Source organism: Homo sapiens, chromosome X (assembly GCF_000001405.40).
Source record: "Homo sapiens chromosome X, GRCh38.p14 Primary Assembly".
Classification (NCBI taxonomy): Eukaryota; Metazoa; Chordata; class Mammalia; order Primates; family Hominidae; genus Homo; species Homo sapiens.
Window position 1 is genome coordinate 81876646 of NC_000023.11, and position 19234 is coordinate 81895879.

The window sequence follows — 19234 nt, forward strand, 5'->3', positions numbered from 1 at the left end:
GGTCCTGCTCAGCTGCACAAGGGTCAGGGTGGCACACTTGGCAGCCTTGGGGTTGCTGGGCCTGGGGATGTGGGGCACAAAGATCACCCTGCTGCAACTGCTGCCACCACTGCTCATGCCTCCCCACTGCAGCCGGCATGGTGGCAGTGGCCACTCCAGACGACCTGCTGCTGCCCTCAGTATCATGGGGGAAACTGCCACCATCATTCAGTTACCTCCCACCGGGTCCCTCCCACGACATGTGGGGAATATTGGAACTACAAGATGAGATTGGGGTGGGGACACAGCCAAACCATATATAAGTAGCTCAAACAATTTGATAGGAAAAATCTAATAATCCAATTTTTAAATGGGCAGAAGGTCTGAATAGATATTTCTTAAAAGAAGACATAAAAATGGCAACCAGACATATGAAAAAAATGCTCAACATAATTAATCATTAGAGAAATGCAAATCAAAACTATAATGAGATATTACCTTACTGCAGTTACAATGGCTTTCATCCAAAAGACAGATATTAATGAATTCTGGCAAGAAAGGGGAACCCTTGTATACTGTTAGCGTGAGTGTAAATTAGTACAACCACTATAAAGAATACGATGGAGCTTCCTCAAAAAACTGAAAGTAGAACTACCATTTGATCCAGCAGTCCTACTGCTGGCTATCTACCAAAAAGAAATGAAATCAGTACATCAAAGAGATATCTGCACTCTCATGTTTATTGCAGCACTATTCACAGTAGCCAAGATATAAAATCAACCTAAGTGTCTATCAATGGATTAATGAATAAATAAAATGTGGTACATATACACAATGGAAGATTTTTCAGCTATAAGAAATGAAATCTTACTTTTTGCACCAATGTGGATGGAAGTGGAGGACATTATGCTATGTAAAATGAGCCAGGCACAGAAAGATAAATTTTAAATATATGTTCTCACTAATATGTGGGAACTGAAAATTAAAACAATTGAATTCATAAATATAAAGAGTAGAATGGTGGTTACCAGAGACCGGCAAGGTTAGTGGGTAGAGGGCAAAATGTGGGGATGGTTAACGGGTGCAAAAATATAGTTAGAATAAATAAGAAATAACAGTTGGTAGAAAAACAGAGTGAATATAGTCAACATTAATTTATTTTATATTTAAAAATAACTAAAAATGTTAAATTGGAATGTTTCTAACACAAATACATGATAAATGTTTGAGGAGATGGATACTCCAATTACCCTGATGTGATTATTACACATTGTATATTGTGTCAGAACATCTCATATATCTCATAAATATATACACCTATTATGTAACCTTAATAATTAAGAATAAAAATAATATTAAATAAATCAGCTGTCTTGAATTTTCTGTCTGAAAGGTCACATATCTCTGTCACACTGGGATTTGTCTCTGGTGCCATATTCAGTTTGTTACGTGAGGTCATGTTATTGTGGATGTTCTTGATGTTTGTATATGTTCCTTGATGTCTGGACATTGAAGAGTTACACATTTATTCTAACCTTCACAGTCTGAGCTTCTTTGTACACTCATCCTGCTTGAGAAGGCTTTTCATGTATTCAAAGAGAATTGAGTGTTGTGATCTAAGTCTTTGTTCACTGCAGTTGTATCACCACTGGGATGCATACTAAGCCTAGTAACGCTGAATCTCTTGCAGACTCATACCATCTGGGCACACTTGGGTAAGGTTTGGAAGTGTTCCCTGGATTACCAGGCAGAGTCTCTTGTTTTATTTCCTGACTTTCCTCCAAACTGAAGTAGTCTCTCTTACTGCTGGCCAGCCTGGAGTTGGGGGAGACGTGATGCAAGCACTCCCTTGGCCACCACAACTGGGACTGCACTGGATTACACCTGATCCAGTACAGTGCTGGGTTTTACCAAAGGCCCGAAAAAACTACTGCTTGGCTACCTCTGATGTTTATTCCAAGCCTAAGTGCTCTTTAATTAGCAGGTGCTAAATCCTTTCAAGACTAGGTGTCTTTTCTTCAGGGAAGTGGGTTCCCTTCTGATCCTAGGAGAGTCTTGGAATGCCACCCTAGAGCTATGGCCTGGAATTGCGGGCCTCAGGAATCTGCTTGTTGCTTTATTTTACTGTGCTTGAAATCATATTTAGGTTTTAAGGCAAAGTTTTATTTGCTCTGCCCTCTTCTTTCCCTAGAAGGGAGGAGTCTTTCACCAAGCTGAACTGCCTGCAGTTGCAGCAGGGATGATGTGATTATTCCCTTGGCCACCACAGCAGGTGTCTCATGGGGTCATGGGCACTCCAAGTCCAATGGCTCCGAGTCCAGTGCTGCACCCAGATTTGTGCAAGAATTGCGGTCCTTGTGACCTGGCTGCTTTTCAAATTTATTCGGGACCCTTGAGCACTACTGTTATTGAGCGGTGGAGCTAGCTGAAACTCTGGTTCCTACCACTGGGATGGAGTATTTCCCTCTGGCTGGGGATTGTCTAAGTGCTCTCTTAATGGGGGCTGGTAGAATTCTGCCCTGTGTTATGTACCACCATGACAGGGCAGCACAAAGTTCCAATGAATAGTTCCACAGTCACTTCACTCTCTATTCCCCAAGCCCAAAGATACTCTCCATGCACTCCTGGGAGATAAGGGAGGGGTGATGTAGGCAATGCAGAAGTGTCTTTCCTATTGTCTTCAGAGCCTTGTTTCTTTGATATGATGTTTGCTCACCTGATTTTTGGTTCTTATTTGGTGTTTTGTTGCATAGAGCATTGTTCAATTTTGTTTTCCTATAGTGGGGGATGATTGCTGGAGGGTTCTCTTCAACTACCTTATTCTGCCATCCACTTGATTTCTAAAAATTTACTTGTGTGTCTCTCCAATCAAGTTTAAACTATATTAGGATTAATCTGTGCCTTTTTATTTAACAATAAAGCCACAATACTTAGAATAGTGTCATAAACATAATAAAAATCTAAATATTACAGTTGCAATATGTTTTAGTTACCATAGCATCACAATAAAAGGAATAAGCATTTTTTGTTAGAGGAACTCAAAGAAAGTTTTATAAAGTAAATGACATATAAACTGGATATTTTAAGGAAGGGTAGGAGTTGTTAGACAAAGGTGGGAGTTAAGGAAAAGTGAAAGGTGATCGCAAATGTAGGCAGCATGACAGAATAATTACAGACATAGGTTTGGGAGTGAGACAAATGTGGGTTTGAAGCCTTGCTTTACCACTTAGCAAATGTAAAATTTTGGACAAGTGATTTTACCCCTCTGACTTTGTTTTCTTATTCTGTAAAATAGAGTTATAAATATCCCCATCTAATATGAGTGTTTTGAAGAGGTAAGTAGTGTATACAACAGTGATCAGCACAGTTTTTGACATATAGGTTAAATAAATGGTGCCAAAATTTGGAGCCAGATAAACTTCAGCTTAATAGTGAACATCTTTTTTAAAATAGTTGCTAAATTAAATCCACATTTATAATGATGCAGTGCACTCCAAAATTAAACTCCAAGTAGCCTCGTGCCTGAGGCCACTTTTTTCTTGGTGAGTTTCTTGAATAGTCTGAAAACAAAATGGATTATAAGCAATCTAGTTTCTAAACATTTTACTCATCAGATGAATTCATTTTCTGACTTGCAAATAAATACAGTTGTTAAAGTACTTACCACTGGCCAGTTTATTTTATACAGTTTCATTGTGTTTTTAAACAGATACCCCTCATTTGTCTGCATTATAGAAGTTTCCCAGGCTAGCAAAGTACTGCAGCAGTAGAACAGAGATGGATGTGAGTAGGATCTAAGACAACCCTATTAATTATCAAGTAGCCCCAGAGTGATTGGTTGTTGAAAAAGCTGAATTCTTCTGCATTTCTGATAAACAGTTAGAAATTTACTCTAAAGGAAAGCTTTGGTGGACCTTCAGTGACACTTGTGTTCATGGTAAGGGAACACTGAAGTAAAAAGTTATATGAACCATGTGATCACAGGCCAAAGTAAACCTAAGATATGTTGGAAATTTACAAAATAGAAGTGACATGGCTGAAAGGCACCTCAGCAAATGTGTACCAATGACTGAATGAATGCATGCCTTTTGTATCATGATGATACATAGTTACCCTGGAACTTAAATGACATTTCATAAGAATTTAGGAGAATAAAAATGAATTATTTGAGTAATGTATTAGAATTGAAAGTGTGGTCTATAAAAGGCCAGATATTTCTGAAATTAATTTAGCATGTACACAAAATTAAAATCATTTAAAAATAATAAGCTATCATTTACCTTTTTTTACTGTTGCTATAGAGTGAATGTTTGTCTTCCTCCAAAATTTACATGTTGAAATCCTAACACACAATGTGATAGTATGAGAAGTTGGACCCTTTGGGAGGTGCATTGGGAGGCTCTGTCCTCATGAATAGGATTATTGTCTTCATAAAGAGACCCCAGAGAACTACCTCAATCCAACAGCAAGTGAAGACATAGTAAAAAGACACACAGAAAGTGAGTTCTCACCAGATACTGAATCTGCTGTCACCTTGATCTTGGACTTCCCAGCTCCAAAACTGTGAGAAATAAATTTATGTTGTGTATAAGCCAACCAATACATATTATTTTTCTTATAGCAGCCCAAACGGACTAAGGCCAATGTTGACACTGCATTGAGGTGCAAAAGCACCAGTGGGTAAAACTGCTAACTCTGTTGCATAAATCAAGACAATTGCTTTCAACTGTATTATTACTCATTGTACTATGCATACCATACATTCATAGGAAAACAATAAGGCCAGCTTTACTCAGGTATGCCCTTGATGGAGTAGCAAAAATGATTAGATTTATTGCATATTGGCTGTTGAGTATATATTCTTTTAGTATTCTGTTCAACAAAATGAGAAATATGCATAAAACATTTCTGCTACATACCTGGAATGCAGTTGTTTCAGAAAACACTTAAGTTGTTTCAGTCATGAATTCAACTAGTGCCTTTTTTTGGGAGGGGTTCAACTGACATTATAAGGCAAAATTAAAGAAGAGTTGAATAAAAACATTGTACTTCAGTTGGCAAATTTGTGTTCCTCTCAAAAGTATATGGATTAGGGATTCTTTTTGAGATTCAGTGTGGTAAGTTATTTCTCCATAAGTAGTTATTTTTACATTATGTGTCTCCTTTATATAGTATCTTTCTGTGTTTGGCTTCTGTCATTACCGCAACTGATTTTTAAAAATTTTTTTTTACATGAATAACTTCTTTAGTGGTGATTTCTCAGATTTTGGTGCACCCATCTCCCGAGCAGTGTACACTGTACCCAATGTATAGTCTTTTACCCCTCACTCCACTCCCACCCTTTCCCCTGAGTCCCCAAAGTCCATTGTATTATTTTTATGCCTTTGCACTCTCATAACTTAGCTCTCACTTATGAGTGAGAATATATGATGTTTAGTTTTTATTCTTGAGTTACTTTACTTAGAACAATGGTCTTCAGTTCCATCCAGGTTGCTGTGAATGCCATTATTTCGTTCCTTTTTATGGCTGAGTAGTATTCTATGGTATATACGTATATACCACATTTTCTTTACCCACTCGTTGAATGATGGGCATTTGAACAAGTTCCATATTTTTGCAAATGCAAATTGTGCTGCTATAAGCATGTGTGTGCAAGGTTTTCTTTTTTGTTGTTTGTATAACTTCTTTTCTTCTCAGTAGAAACCCCGTAGTGGGATTGCTGGATCAAATGGTAGATCTATTTTAGTTCTTTAAGGAATATGCACACTGCTTTCCATAGTGATTGTATTAGTTTACATTTCCACCGTCAATATAAAAGTGTTTCTTTTCTCACCACATCCACACCAACATCAATTTTTTTTTAAATTATTGTCATTCTTGAAGGAAAAGGGTGGTATTGCATTGAGGTTTTGATGTGCATTTCTTTCATAATTAGTGTTGTTAAGCATTTAAAAAATGTGTTTGTTGGTTGTTTATATATCTTCTTCTGAGAATTGTCTATTCATATCATTTGCCCACTTTTTGATGATAGGATTATTTGCTTTTTTCTTGCTGATTTGTTTGAGGTTTTTGTAGATTCGATATTAGCCCTTTGTCAGAAGTATAGATTTTGAAGATTTTCTCCTACTTTTTGGGTTGTCTGTTTACTCTGCTGATTACTTCTTTTGTTGTGCAGAAGTTATAAATTTAATTAAGTCCCATAAATTTATCTTTGTTCTTATTGCATTTGCTTTTGGGTTCTTGGTGAAGAAATCTTTGCCTAAGACATGCCTAGAAGGGTTTTTCCAATGTTATCTTCTAGAATTTTGTGGTTTCAGCTCTCAGATTTAAGTCTTTGATACATCTTGAGTTTATTTTTGTATGTGGTGAGAGATGAGATTCCAGTTTTATTCTTCTACATGTGGCTTGCAATTATCTCAGGACCATTTGTTGAACAGGGTGTCTTTTCCCCACGTTATGTTTTTGTATAGTTTGTCGAAGATAAGTTGGCTGTGAGTATTTGGCTTTATTTCTGGGTTCTCTGTTTTGTTCCATTGTTCTAAATGCCTACTTTTTTACCAGTACCATGCTGCTTTGGTGGCTATGAATTTATAGTATAGTTTGAAATCAGGTAATGCGGCGCCTCTGGATTTATTCTTTTTGCTTGGCCTTACTTTTGCTATGTGGGCTCTTTTCTCATTCCATATGAATTTTAGGATTGTCTTTTCCAGTTCTGTGAAGAATAATGATGGTATTTTGATGGAAATTGCATTGAATTTATAAATTGCTTTTGGTAGTATGATCATATGTACAACAGTGTTTCTACCTATCCATGAGTATGGGATGTGTTTCCATTTGTTTGTGTCATCTATGATTTATTTCAACAGTGTTTTGTAGTTTTCCTTGTAGAAGTCTTTCACCACCTTGGTAGGTGTATTCCTAAGTATTTATTTTATTTGCAGCTATTGCTGAAGGGGTTGAGTTCTTGATTTGATTCTCAGCTTGGTCACTGTTGGTGTATAGCAGAGCTACTGATTTATGTACATTTGCTCTGTATCCTGAAACTTTGCTGAATTCATTTACCAGTTCTAGGAGCTTTTTAGATGAGTCTTTAAGGTTTTCTAGGTATGCCATCATGTCATCAGCAAACAGTGACAGTTTGACTTTCTCTTTACTGAATTGGATGCCCTTTATTTTTTCCTTTTGTCTGATTGCTCTGGCTAGGACTTCCTCAGTTGAATAGGCATGGTGAAAGTGGGCATTATTGCCTTATTCCAGTTCTCAGGGGAGAATGCTTTCAACTTTTCCCCATTCAGTATAATGTTGACTGTGGGGTTGTGAAAGTTGGCTTTTATTACCTTAAAGTATACTCCTCCTATGCCAATTTTGCTGAGGGTTTTACTCATAAAGCTATGCTGGATTTTGTCAAATGTTTTTTCTGCATCTATGGAGATAATAATGTGATTTTTGTTCTTACTTCTGTTTATGTGGTGTATCACATTTATTGACTTGCTTGTGTTAAACAATCCATGCATTCCTGGTATGAAACCCACCTGATCATGGTGGATTTTTTTTTTTTTTTGATATGCTCTTGGATTCGGTTAGCTAGCATTTGTTGAGAATTTTTGCATCTATGTTTATCAGAGATATTTGTCTGTAGTTTTCTGTTTTTCTGTGTCCCTTCCTGGTTTTGGTATTAGGGTTAGCCTCATCTAATGATTTAGGGAGGATTTCCTCTTTCTTTATACTGTGGAATCATGTCAATAGAATTGGTACCAATTTTTCTTTGAATGTCTGATAGAATCTAGCTGTGAATCCATCTGGTCCTGGACTGTTTTGTTGATGAATTTTTAAATACCATTTCAATCTTGCTGCTTGTTATTGGTCTATTCAGAGTTTCTATTTATTCCTGGCTTTACCTAGAAGGATTGTATATTTCCAGGAATTTTTCCATTTCCTCTAGGTTTTCTAGTTTATGTGCATGAAGGTGTTCATAGTAGTCTTGAATCATCTTTTATATTTCTGTGGTATTGGTTGTAATAATTTTCATTTCATTTCTAATTGAGCTTATTTGGATCTTCTGTCTTATTTTCTTGGTTTATTTCACTAATAGTCTATCAATTTTACTTGTCTTTTCAAAGAACCAGCTTTTTGTTTTATTCGTCTTTCACACTTTTTTGTTTTAATTTCATTTAGTTCTGCTCTAATCTTGGTTATTTGTTTTCTTCTGCTGGATTTAGGTTTGGTTTGTTCCTGTTTTTCTAGCTCTTTGAGATGTGACCTTACATTGTCAATTGTGCTTTTTTAAAACTTTTTGATGTAGATATTTAATGCTATGAACTTTTCCCTTAGCACTGCTTTTGCTGTATCCCAGAGATTTTGATAGTTTGTGTAACTACTATCATTCAGTTTGAAGAATTTTTAAATTTCCGTCATGATATTATTGTTGATTTTATTGTCAGGAGAAGGTTATTTAATTTTCATGTATGTGCATGGTTTTGTGCATTCCTTTTGGAGTTGATTTCCAATTTTATTCCACTGTGGTCTGAGAGAGTACTTACTGCAATTTTGATTTTTTAAAATTTGTTGAGACTTGTTTTGTGGCTTATCATATAGTCTATCTTGGAAAATGTTTCTTGTGCTGATGAATAGAATGTATATTCTGCAGTTGTTGCGTAGAATGCTTTGTAAATATCTGTTAAGTACGTTTGTTTAAGGATATAGTAAAAAGTCCATTGTTTCTTTGTTGACTTTCTTTCTTGATTACCTATCTAGTGCTTTAAGGGGATTGTTGAATTCCCCCACTATTATTGTTTTGCTTTCTACCTCATTTCTTAGGTCTTGTAGTAACTGTTTTATAAATTTGAAAGCTTCAGTTTTAGGTGCATATATATTTAGGATTGTGATATTTTCCTTTTGGACTAGTCCTTTTATTATTTTACAATGTTCATCTTCGTCTTTTTAAATAGCTGTTACTTTAAATTTTGTATGATATAAGTATAGCTACTTCTGCTCACTTTTGGTGTCCATTTGCATGGAACATGTTTTTTCACCCCTTTCCTTTAAGTTTATGTGAGTCCTTATGTGTCAGATGAGTCTCTTGAAGACAGCAGATACTTTTTTGGTGAATTCTTATCTATTTTTTCATTCTGTATATTTTTAAGTGGAGCATTTAGGCCACTTACATTCAATATTAGTATTGAGATGTGAGGCATTATTCTATTCAGGCTGCTGTTTGTTTCCTGTATACCTTGTTTTTTTAATTGTGTTTTTGTTTTATATACCCTGTGAGAATTATGCTCTGAGGAAATTAAATTTTGATATATTTTGAGAATTTGTTATAAGATTTATAGCTTTTCTTCAGCAGTTATTGTAGTGATGGCTTGGTAGTGGTGAACTCTCTCAGCAATTGTTTGCCTGAAAAAGACTGTATCTTTCCTTCACTTAAAAGCTTAGTTTAAATGGATACAAAATTTGGGGCTGATCATTGTTTTGCCTGAGGAGGCTAAAGACAGGACCTCAATCTCTTCTAGCTTGTAGAGTTTCTGCTGAGAAATTTGCTGTTAATCTGACAGGTTTTTCTTTATAGGTTACATGACGCTTTTGCCTCATAGCTCATAAGATTCTTTCCTTCATCTTGACTTTAAATAACCTGATGACTGTGCACCGAGACAATGATCTTTTTGTGATGATTTTCCAGATGTCTTTTGAGCTTCTTGTATTTGGATATCTAGATGTGTAGCAAGGCTGGGGAAGTTTTCCTCGATTATTCCTTCAAATATGTTTTCCAAACTTTTTGATTTCTCTTATTCCTCGAGAACACCAATTATTCTTAGGTTATTTAACATAAGTCCAAACTTTTTAGAGGCTTTGCTCATTTTTTAATTTTTTTTGTGTTTGTTGGATTGGGTTACTTCAAAAGCCTTGTCTTCAAGCTCTGAAGTTCTTTTCTCTACTTGTTTGATTTGATTGCTGAGACTATCCAGTGCATTTTCTATTTACCTGCGTCCTTTATTTCAAGTTGTGATTGCTTTTTATTTATGCTATTTCACTGGATATTTTTTCATTCGCATCTCGTATCATTTTTTTTTTATTTAAGTCGGACATCACCTTTTTCTGGCGCCTCCTTTATTAGCTTAATAATTAACCTTCTGAATTTTCTTTCTGGCAACTCAGATTTAACCGAGGTTTGGATCCATTGCTGGCGAGCTACTGTGATTTTTGCGGGGTGATAAGAAACTTGTTTTGTTATGTTACCAGATTATTTTTTCTGGTTCCTTTTCATTTGGGTAGACTATGTAAGAAGGAAAATCTGGGACTTAATGGCTGCTCTTCAGATTCTTTTGTTACATGGGGTGCTCCCTTGATTTGTTGCTCTCCCCCTTTCTTCAGGTATGAGGCTTCCTGAGAGCCATATGGCAGTGACTGTTATTTCTCTTATGGATCTAGCCACCCAGCAGAGCTACCATTCTCTCGGCTATTACTTGGGAATGTCTGCTAAAAGTCCTTTGTTGTGATTTGTCTTCAGGTTTCTCAGCCATGGATACCAGCACATGCTTTTTTGGAGTTAGGAGGTGAGTTACATCCACTCTGTGAGGGTCCTTGGTTGTATTTTTAAGTGTGCCGGTTTTGTGTTGGTTGGCGTCCAGCCAGGAGGTTGTGCTTTCAAGAGGCATCAGCTGCAGTAGTATAGAGGGGATATAAGCTTTCCCTAGGGTCAAGTGGTGGGGGGACCCATAGAGCTCCCCAGAGATTCTGTTTTCTGTCTTTGGCTACCAAGGCAGGTAGAGAAAGACCATCAGGTGGGGGCAAGGTTAGGCGTGTCTGAGCTCTGACTCTCCTTTTGTGGGGCTTGCTGAGGCTGCTGTGGGGGATAAGAGTGTGGTTTCCAGGCCAATGGAGTTGTGTTCCCAGGACAATTATGGCTGCCTCTGATGTTTCACACAGATCTTAAGGGAAATTGGGGAAAGCCTGCAGCCACAGGCCTCATTCAGCTCCCATTCAGCCCGCAGCTCAAAAGACTGGTCTCACTTCCCCCATCTCCCCCAATAGCACCAAGTTTATTTCTAGGCAGCTGGTGAGCAGGGCTGAGAACTTGTCCCAGGCTACAAGCCTCTTAGCTGAGAAAGGAAGCCAAATCAGTTTCTTGGCTGTCCCACAGAGACTGTAGCAGCAATCCATCTCCTTCAAGGGGTCTGTGAGTTCTCTTGGCTTTTCTCATATGTTCCTGTGGTAATTCTTGGAGCAAAAGTTCCTGATGTGGGTCTCCATAGGCTGCTCTGTCTGAGAAGGAACTTCAAGTTAGTCCTGTCTCCTGTCTGCCATTTTTGGGGGATTAACCTAGTGACTGTTTTATGGAACACATCTTTACTTCAAAAAGGGCTTACAGAAAAAATGGTTATTCATGTTGGGATATTAGGAAGATTTTTTTTCAAAAAACTACAAAAGGACTGTCAATTCAAGTATGTCAACTAACACTATTTGTTGCCGATGATAAAATTTGAGCTTTCAAATGAAACTTAGAACTTTGTAAAACTTGCATTTACCACCATGGATCTGACAGGTTTCCAATATTTAATTATTTTCTTATAATATTTATGGAAATAGTATCAAATGTGATGCATTTTTTGATACTGTATAATAAAATATGTTCACATTTGGAGGTTCTGCATCAATGAACGAATGTTTTTGAAATGAACAATATAATATGTTGTACAGCCATGCATGGAGAAAAGTTCAATTTAAACTACAAGATTGATCTATGCATTTTAATATAATAAGAAATATCGTCGATATATTTTCAGTGTCCATATTGCAACTTACGTTTATGAAACTAACACTTGCTCAGTTTTGATTTAGTGTCAAAGACTATCCACAACTATCTGTAATATCTTCTTAAAATACTTTTACTGTTTCAACAATGTATCTATGTAAGGCTGAATTTTTTGTGTACATCAAATGAAACAATGTTTAACCACTGACAGTATAGAAGCAGATATTAGAACTAATTTTTTTCTATGAAACCACACATTGAGATTGCAAAAATGTAAAACAATGTTACTCTTCTTACTGCAAATTTTATTTTGTAAATGTAGTAGTACATTTTTATTAAAATAAATTATTTAGCTAACATAGATAATATTTTATGTTTATTTTTATTAACATTGTTATTTATAGTTATTATTTTTGTGGTACTTCAGAATAAATAAATACGCTTCCACTTTTAATTTTTAATATAGAACATATTCGTAGATGAAATCTATATTTTAAAAAAACTCTTTATGCTTATCAATACTTTTTAAGATTGTAAAGGTGGCTTTGACCCAAAAGTTGAAGAATGACTGGATTAACAAGTTTCCTCCAAAAGTGAAATAAAATTTGGATGCATCTGAGTTTACTTGTAAATGACTAAATTAACTTTTTTTTTCTACTGAACAAAATGGGAGTTTCAGGTAGAAATTAAGTTCAGTTACAGAAAAGCAGTTATATTTTTGCATCTCTGTATTTGTAATTTTAAGTTTTTATATTAACTGCATTTGTCTTTTTGTCCCCTACTGCCTGATTTGGAGGGTAATCTAGTCTCAGTAATATTTTATTGGAATTGTTCAACTATCTCAAGCCCCAATTTTTACCCCTTTCTGGTATTTTCAAGATTTTTGGTGACCTCATATAGTTCAGACATTTAGGAAAATGTCTTTGAGATTTAGCCCATTCCATTTGGTGCTAGGATTCTCATGTACAAGCCCAAATTTCCTATTAAAATATGTGCAGCCCTGTATTATATAGGATCCATATATTTCATGTGCATATTAGCTACCAGGGCTTTTTACACAGTGTCTAAGGCTCTTGAAAATTTCAACTCTTAAACATCCATGAGCTACTTTGATAGGAATTCTTATATCTGCTAGAATCCTGAATAATTTCAGGGCATGGAGCTTAAATAATTTTTCAGATGCTTACTGAGTCTTAAGAAACTTAATTCTAGATTCTCACTTGATACCTGTGATGATGATATGGTTTGAATTTTTGTCCCCCACCCAAATCTCATGTCAAGTTGTAATCCCCAATGTTGGGAGGTGATTGAATAATGAAGACGGATTTCCCCCTTGCTCTTGTCTTGATAGTGAGTTATCATGAAATTTGGTTGTTTAAAAGTGGGTAGCACCTCCCTCTTTGCTCTCTCTTTCTCCTTCTCCAGCCACGTAAAACATGCCTGCTTTCCCTTCAACTTCTGTCATGAATGTAAGATTCCGTAGCCATGCCTCCTGTACAGCCTGCAGATATGAGTCAATTAAATCTCTTTTCTTTATAAATTACCCAGTCCCAGGTAGTTCTTTATAGCAATGCAAAAACAAACTAATACAGATGGTTAATTCTGTAAGTCAACTTGCTTAGGTTAAAATACCCAGTGATTCCATCACACAGTAATCTAGATGCTGCTGTGAAAGTATTTCATAGATGTGGTTTATATTTATAATCAGTTGACAGTTTATTCTTCATAATATATGTGGACATTATCTAATAAGTTGAAATGTTTTAAAAGAAAACACTGAGATATCCTTGAAGAAGAAAAAAAGGTCTCGACTGCAGCATCAAATTCTGCCAGAGATAATTCTGCCAGACTGCCCTATTAATGTGCCAGATTCCTGTAATTGCATGAGCTAATTCCTTGAAATAAATTGTGTGTGTGTGTGTGTGTGTGTGTGTGTGTGTGTGTATCAAATTTCTTTCTTGTTTTATTTTTTTGGAGAACCCTGACTAATACATATTTTGGTATTGAGAGTGTGGTGTGCTACTATCCCAGTCCATTTCCTGAAAAACGAAGAGCTGCAGGGTTTCAGTGGAGCTTAGAATAAGAGAAGGCTCTGCATCAGGTTCAGGCTATAATGAAAGCTGATATGTTACTTGGGACATATGATTCAGCAGATCCAATGGTGCTTGAGATATCACTGTCAGATAGGGATGCTGTTTGGAGCATTTTGGAGGCCTGTGTAGGTGAATTACAGTGCAGATCCTTAGAACTGTGAAGCAAATTGCTGCCCTTGTCTGTGTATAACTATTCTGTTTTTTGGAAATGGTTTTGGCTTCCTACAGAACACTTAGTCATGGTCTATCAAGTTACCATATGACCTAAACTTCCTGGTTTGCAGATGGTTCTGTATGATATGCAGCACAATCAGAAAGTGAAGAGCTACAGCACTTTAGTGCCTTTCTGAGACTTCCTCAAAGGACAGTCATAAAGAAACATCTCCCAATGGGCATAATTTCAAACAGTGCACTTCGTTATTTATTTTTTGGCAAAAAGAAATGTTCAGAGGTATGAGCATATACCAGTTCATGCGATGTGGCCAGTGGTTTTGCCATATAATCAGGGATTTGGCAAGAACCAGATTGGAAAGTTGGTAACTAGGAGGTCTGAGGAAGAGGTATGTGGAGAGTCCTCTCTGTATGAGCATAAAAGTAAAGATATTTGTATGCTATGTGAATGCTCACCAAAGGGTGACCACAACTGAGAAGAATTTAAATATATATATGCATTGGCTCAACAACACAATCTTCAACTTACCAAGGCTGACCTGGTTATAGCCATGACTGAGTGCCCAATATGCCAGCAGCAGAGGCCAATACTGAGTCCCAGATATTGCACCATTCCCCACAATGAACAGCAAGCTACCTCGTGGCAGGTGGATTACATTGGCTTACTTTCACTATGAAAGGAGAAATACTCTGCTCTTACCAAAGTAGACACTTTGGAAATTGATTTGTCTATTCTTCATGCAATTGTTCGGTCAAACATACTATCTGTGGACTTACAAAATGCCTTATCCACTGTCATGGTATCACACATGACACTGTTTCTTATCAAGGAACTCACTTCACTGCAAATGAAGTGCAGCAATGGTCCCATCTTTATGGGATTCACTGGTGGTACCACGTTTCCAATCATTCTGAAGTAGCTGGCTTGGTAGAATGATAAAATGGTCTTTTCAATACTCATTTATAACCCAGTTAGGTGCTTATAGGGCTTGGGCAATGTTTTTGAGTAGGTTGAACATGTTCTAAATCAGTGCCCAATAAATGGAGTTGTCACTTTCATATCCAGCATTTGCAAGTTACGAGGCAAGTGAATTGGAGTGGCGCTACTCAGTATTACCTCTAATGATCCACTAGCAAAATTTCTGCTTCCTGTTCCTGTGGTTTCCTATATATACGTGTGTGTGTGTGTGTGTGTGTGCCTGTGTGATCTTTGTTTTTTTGTTTATCCTCTTATTCTATAAGATGTATTAATAATAATAATCTTTATATCACGCCTACCTGTACTTGTGCTACATCAGCTAAAAATGAACGTTGAATAAGATACAAAGCCTCATAATATACTGTACAACACGTACAGCATACAATTAAAAATCACTCATTATACCAATAACTAGTAAAATCACAAGATGAAGGTGAAAATACCACACTAAGCTTTTTCAGCTGTCCCAGTTATCTGACAAAGGTATTAAAACAGTCACAATAATAAAATTTTAGTAAGAAATTACAAATTTACCAGACAAATTAAAAGTACAAAATTGCAATAAAATTTCTACTAAAAGTAGAACTACCATATGACCCAGCAATGTAACTACTGGGTATATACTAAAAAGAAAGGTAATATTGCAAACAAAGTGTTATCTGAACTCTTACATTTGTTGCAGCATTGTTTACAATAGCCCAGATTTTGAAGCAATTTAAGTGTCCATCAACAGAGAAATGGATAAAAAACGTGGCACATATATGCAATGGAGTACTATTTAGTCACAAAGAAGAATGAAATGCTGTCATTTGCAACAACATAGATGGAACTGGATATTATTACGCAGAGTGAAATAAGCCAGACACAGAAATACAAACATTACATGTTCTCGCTTATTTGTGGGATCCAAAATTCAAAACAAACTCATGGACATAGAGAGTAGAAGAATGGTTATTAGAGGCTTGAAAGGGTAATGGGGTGCTTATTTACCCCAAGGTGGTGGAGCTTATTTTTCCAGCTTCCAATCATATGATTTCTCTGATTAATAGATGATGATGGAAAGATAATTATGAGAATTCTGAATGTAAGCCTCAAAATGCCTAGAACTTTCTGCTTTCTCTCTAAGAGGACTGCAAATTTGTAAACAAGCCTGTTGCAGCCTTCTTGAGGGTGAGAAAGTTTGTAGTGAGAATAAACACATGGAGAGAGAGGCCTTGATATTTTGGCCATCACAACTAAGGTCGATATGGGTAAATAAGGCCATTTAGGACCAGCAAGGCTGTAGCTGACAGGCCAACTGACTGCATAGCTAATTGAACCCAGCCAGTGCCAACCATAGCAAAAATGACCAGCTTCAGCTGTGGCCTGCCAAAATATTCAACCTGCTGAATCAAGAAGAAATAAATGGTTACTGCTTAGTATCCTAATTTTGAGTGGTTTGTTATGCAAGAATAGAAAAGACAAGTGGAAGAATAGATTCATTGAAACGTAGCATGCTGATAACTGGAGTACAATGATTGTACCATATGAAATCTAAGAAGACACAACAAATAAGTCAGTATAAAAAAATTGATCTCAGAAAGCAGACAAAAATAATTAGGCGGGGGACCAGGGGTCAGACGTCTAGTCATTTGAGAGATCAATAATAACAAGTGAAAAGCTGTCTCAGAAATCGGTGTATTGGGCAAGTTATCAAAGCTACCATTCAAGAACAGAAAATAAGTCAGAGGCCCAATTATAGAAAATGAGAAATAATATTAGAGCCATAACATAGAAATCAAGGAAATGCCCAAATATGATAACAAGAAAATAAATTAGAAGAAAAATTGGGTGGATAGTACGTATCCTGGGTTACTGGATTAGAACTTCTTAGAGTTTACATAATTAATTTCTGTAGTCTGAAACAGGGTTGAGTATGGTGGAAAAAGGGTCTGGGAAGGAATAATGAATGATTGCCTTGAATAAAAGAAGAGGGGCGCTATGGGGAGCACGATATCAGAAACACTGTTAGAACAATACATTGCCAAAACATTTTTGACAATTTATTCAGAATAATTTTATATGTAGGCCAATCAGATGCACAATCATCAATATAGTGTAATGTGAAAAGTAGTATGTTCAAATAAACTTTCCATTCTTTTCTGGCCCAGTTTCTGATGTCTCAAGGCATACCTCTAAATTTTTCTATGTCAGGGAAAAGGTAAAAATGGAAACACGCACATACTTTAAAAGTAAAAATCAATCAAATTGTTAAATATGTTCAATATTCTTTCCTTGACAATATAAAAAAGCATGGGTAATGCTATACTTTTTCATGTGACTAAAATTTTAAACAATATAAAACATAACTGAATTAAATTATTGCAAATTTCTGTTTGATTTGTTAATGAATTGCCAATGTTTAAATGGGTACCAATGAATCAAATCATACATAATTCATAACTTACTACATATTTTTCTATAAAATTCTTATTTAGGCATTATTAACATAATTAATCATACATTCACATAGTTTATGTTCTTTTGAAATTAATGACTTCAAGAATTAAAAATATATAATAATATTCAAATTATGCAAAGTGCAATATAAAATGTAAATAAGCCTATTTATGTGTATAAAAATTACATTTTTGTGGTCTTAAAAACTTTACTTCTAAGTTATTCAAAAGTATTAAAATTAAAAAAATTATAATGAAGAAATATATATTTTAAGACAAAAGCATTAAAACATATAAAAAATAACGTAATACACCACATTAACGTTTGTAAGAATAGAGAAAAAAAGGCATCCAAATCAGAGAGAAAAAAGTTAAATTTACTCTGTTTGCAGAGCACATGAACTTATGTATAGAAATTGTTAAAGACTCCATAAAAATATTAGAACAAATAGAAAAATTTAGCTAAGTTTCAGATACAAATCCAGCATGCAAATATCAGTTGCAATTCTATACCGTGACAATTATCAATCTAAAAAAAATTAAATATGCAATATCATTTACAAAACACCAAAAAGAATACAACACTTAGGAATATATTGAACCAAGGACATGAGAAACTTGTACACTGAAAAATCACAAAACACTGATGAAAATGTAAAGAAGATGCAAACGATGGCTCTACATCCTGTGTTCGTGGACAAGAAGAACTAATACAGGCATACAAAAGAGATATTGCCAGTTGAATAGTACAATACCTCAAAAATAGCTTCATCGTTAAAAAGATAAAGTGATGCAACAACAACGCAAGCATAGATTGAGAGTTTCCAGGAATCTACCTAAGCTGCCTGTCCATAGAAATGCTTGCTATAAAGTGACAAATATTTAACACAAAGTCAGTTGTACTAGGTTGCAGACGGACCTCAATGAAGTGTACATTGCAATAATAAAAGTCACAAATTTTTTTTGGTTACCCAGTGAATGTAAAAGTTATGTTTACACTACACTGTAGCCTACTAAGTGTGCAACAGCATTATGTCTAAAAAAGCAATGTCCATACCTTATTTTAAAAATATATTATTGCTAAATATGCTAATGATGATTTCAGCCTTCAGCATGCTGTAATCTGCTTGTTGGTAGAGGGTCTTGCCTCAATGTTGATGGCTGCTGACTGGCTGACAAAGAAGGCAGTTAGTGAAGGTTGGGGTTGCTGTGGCAATTTCTTAAAATAGGAAAACAATAAAGTTTGTCACATCAATTGGCTTGACATTTCACAAAACATTTCTTTGTAGCATGTGGTGCTATTTGATAGCATTTTACACACGGTAGAACTTATTTCAAAATTAGAGTCAATCCTCTGAAACCCTGCCACTGCTTTATCAACTAAGTTGATGTGATGTTCTAAATTTGTTGTTATTTCCACAATATTCCCAACGTCTCCACCAGGACTACTCCTGAGATTCCATCTCAGGAAACCAATTCATTTGCTCATCCGTAAGAAGCAGCTCCTCATCCATTGGCATTTTATTATGACACTGCAGCAATTCATTCACATCTTCAGTCTCCACTTCTCATTCTAGCTCTCTTGCTGTTTCCAACTTGCTGTTTCCACAACATGTGCAGTGACTTTCTCCACTGAGATCTTGAACCCCTTAAAGACACCGAAGTGGATTGAAATCATCTTCTTCCAAATTTCTGTTAATGTTTCTCCTATGAGTCATAAATATTCTTAATGCTATCTAAAGTGGTGAATCATTTCCAGAAAGTTTTCAATTTACTTTGCCCAGATGCATCAGAGAAATCACTATCTATGGCAACTATAGCC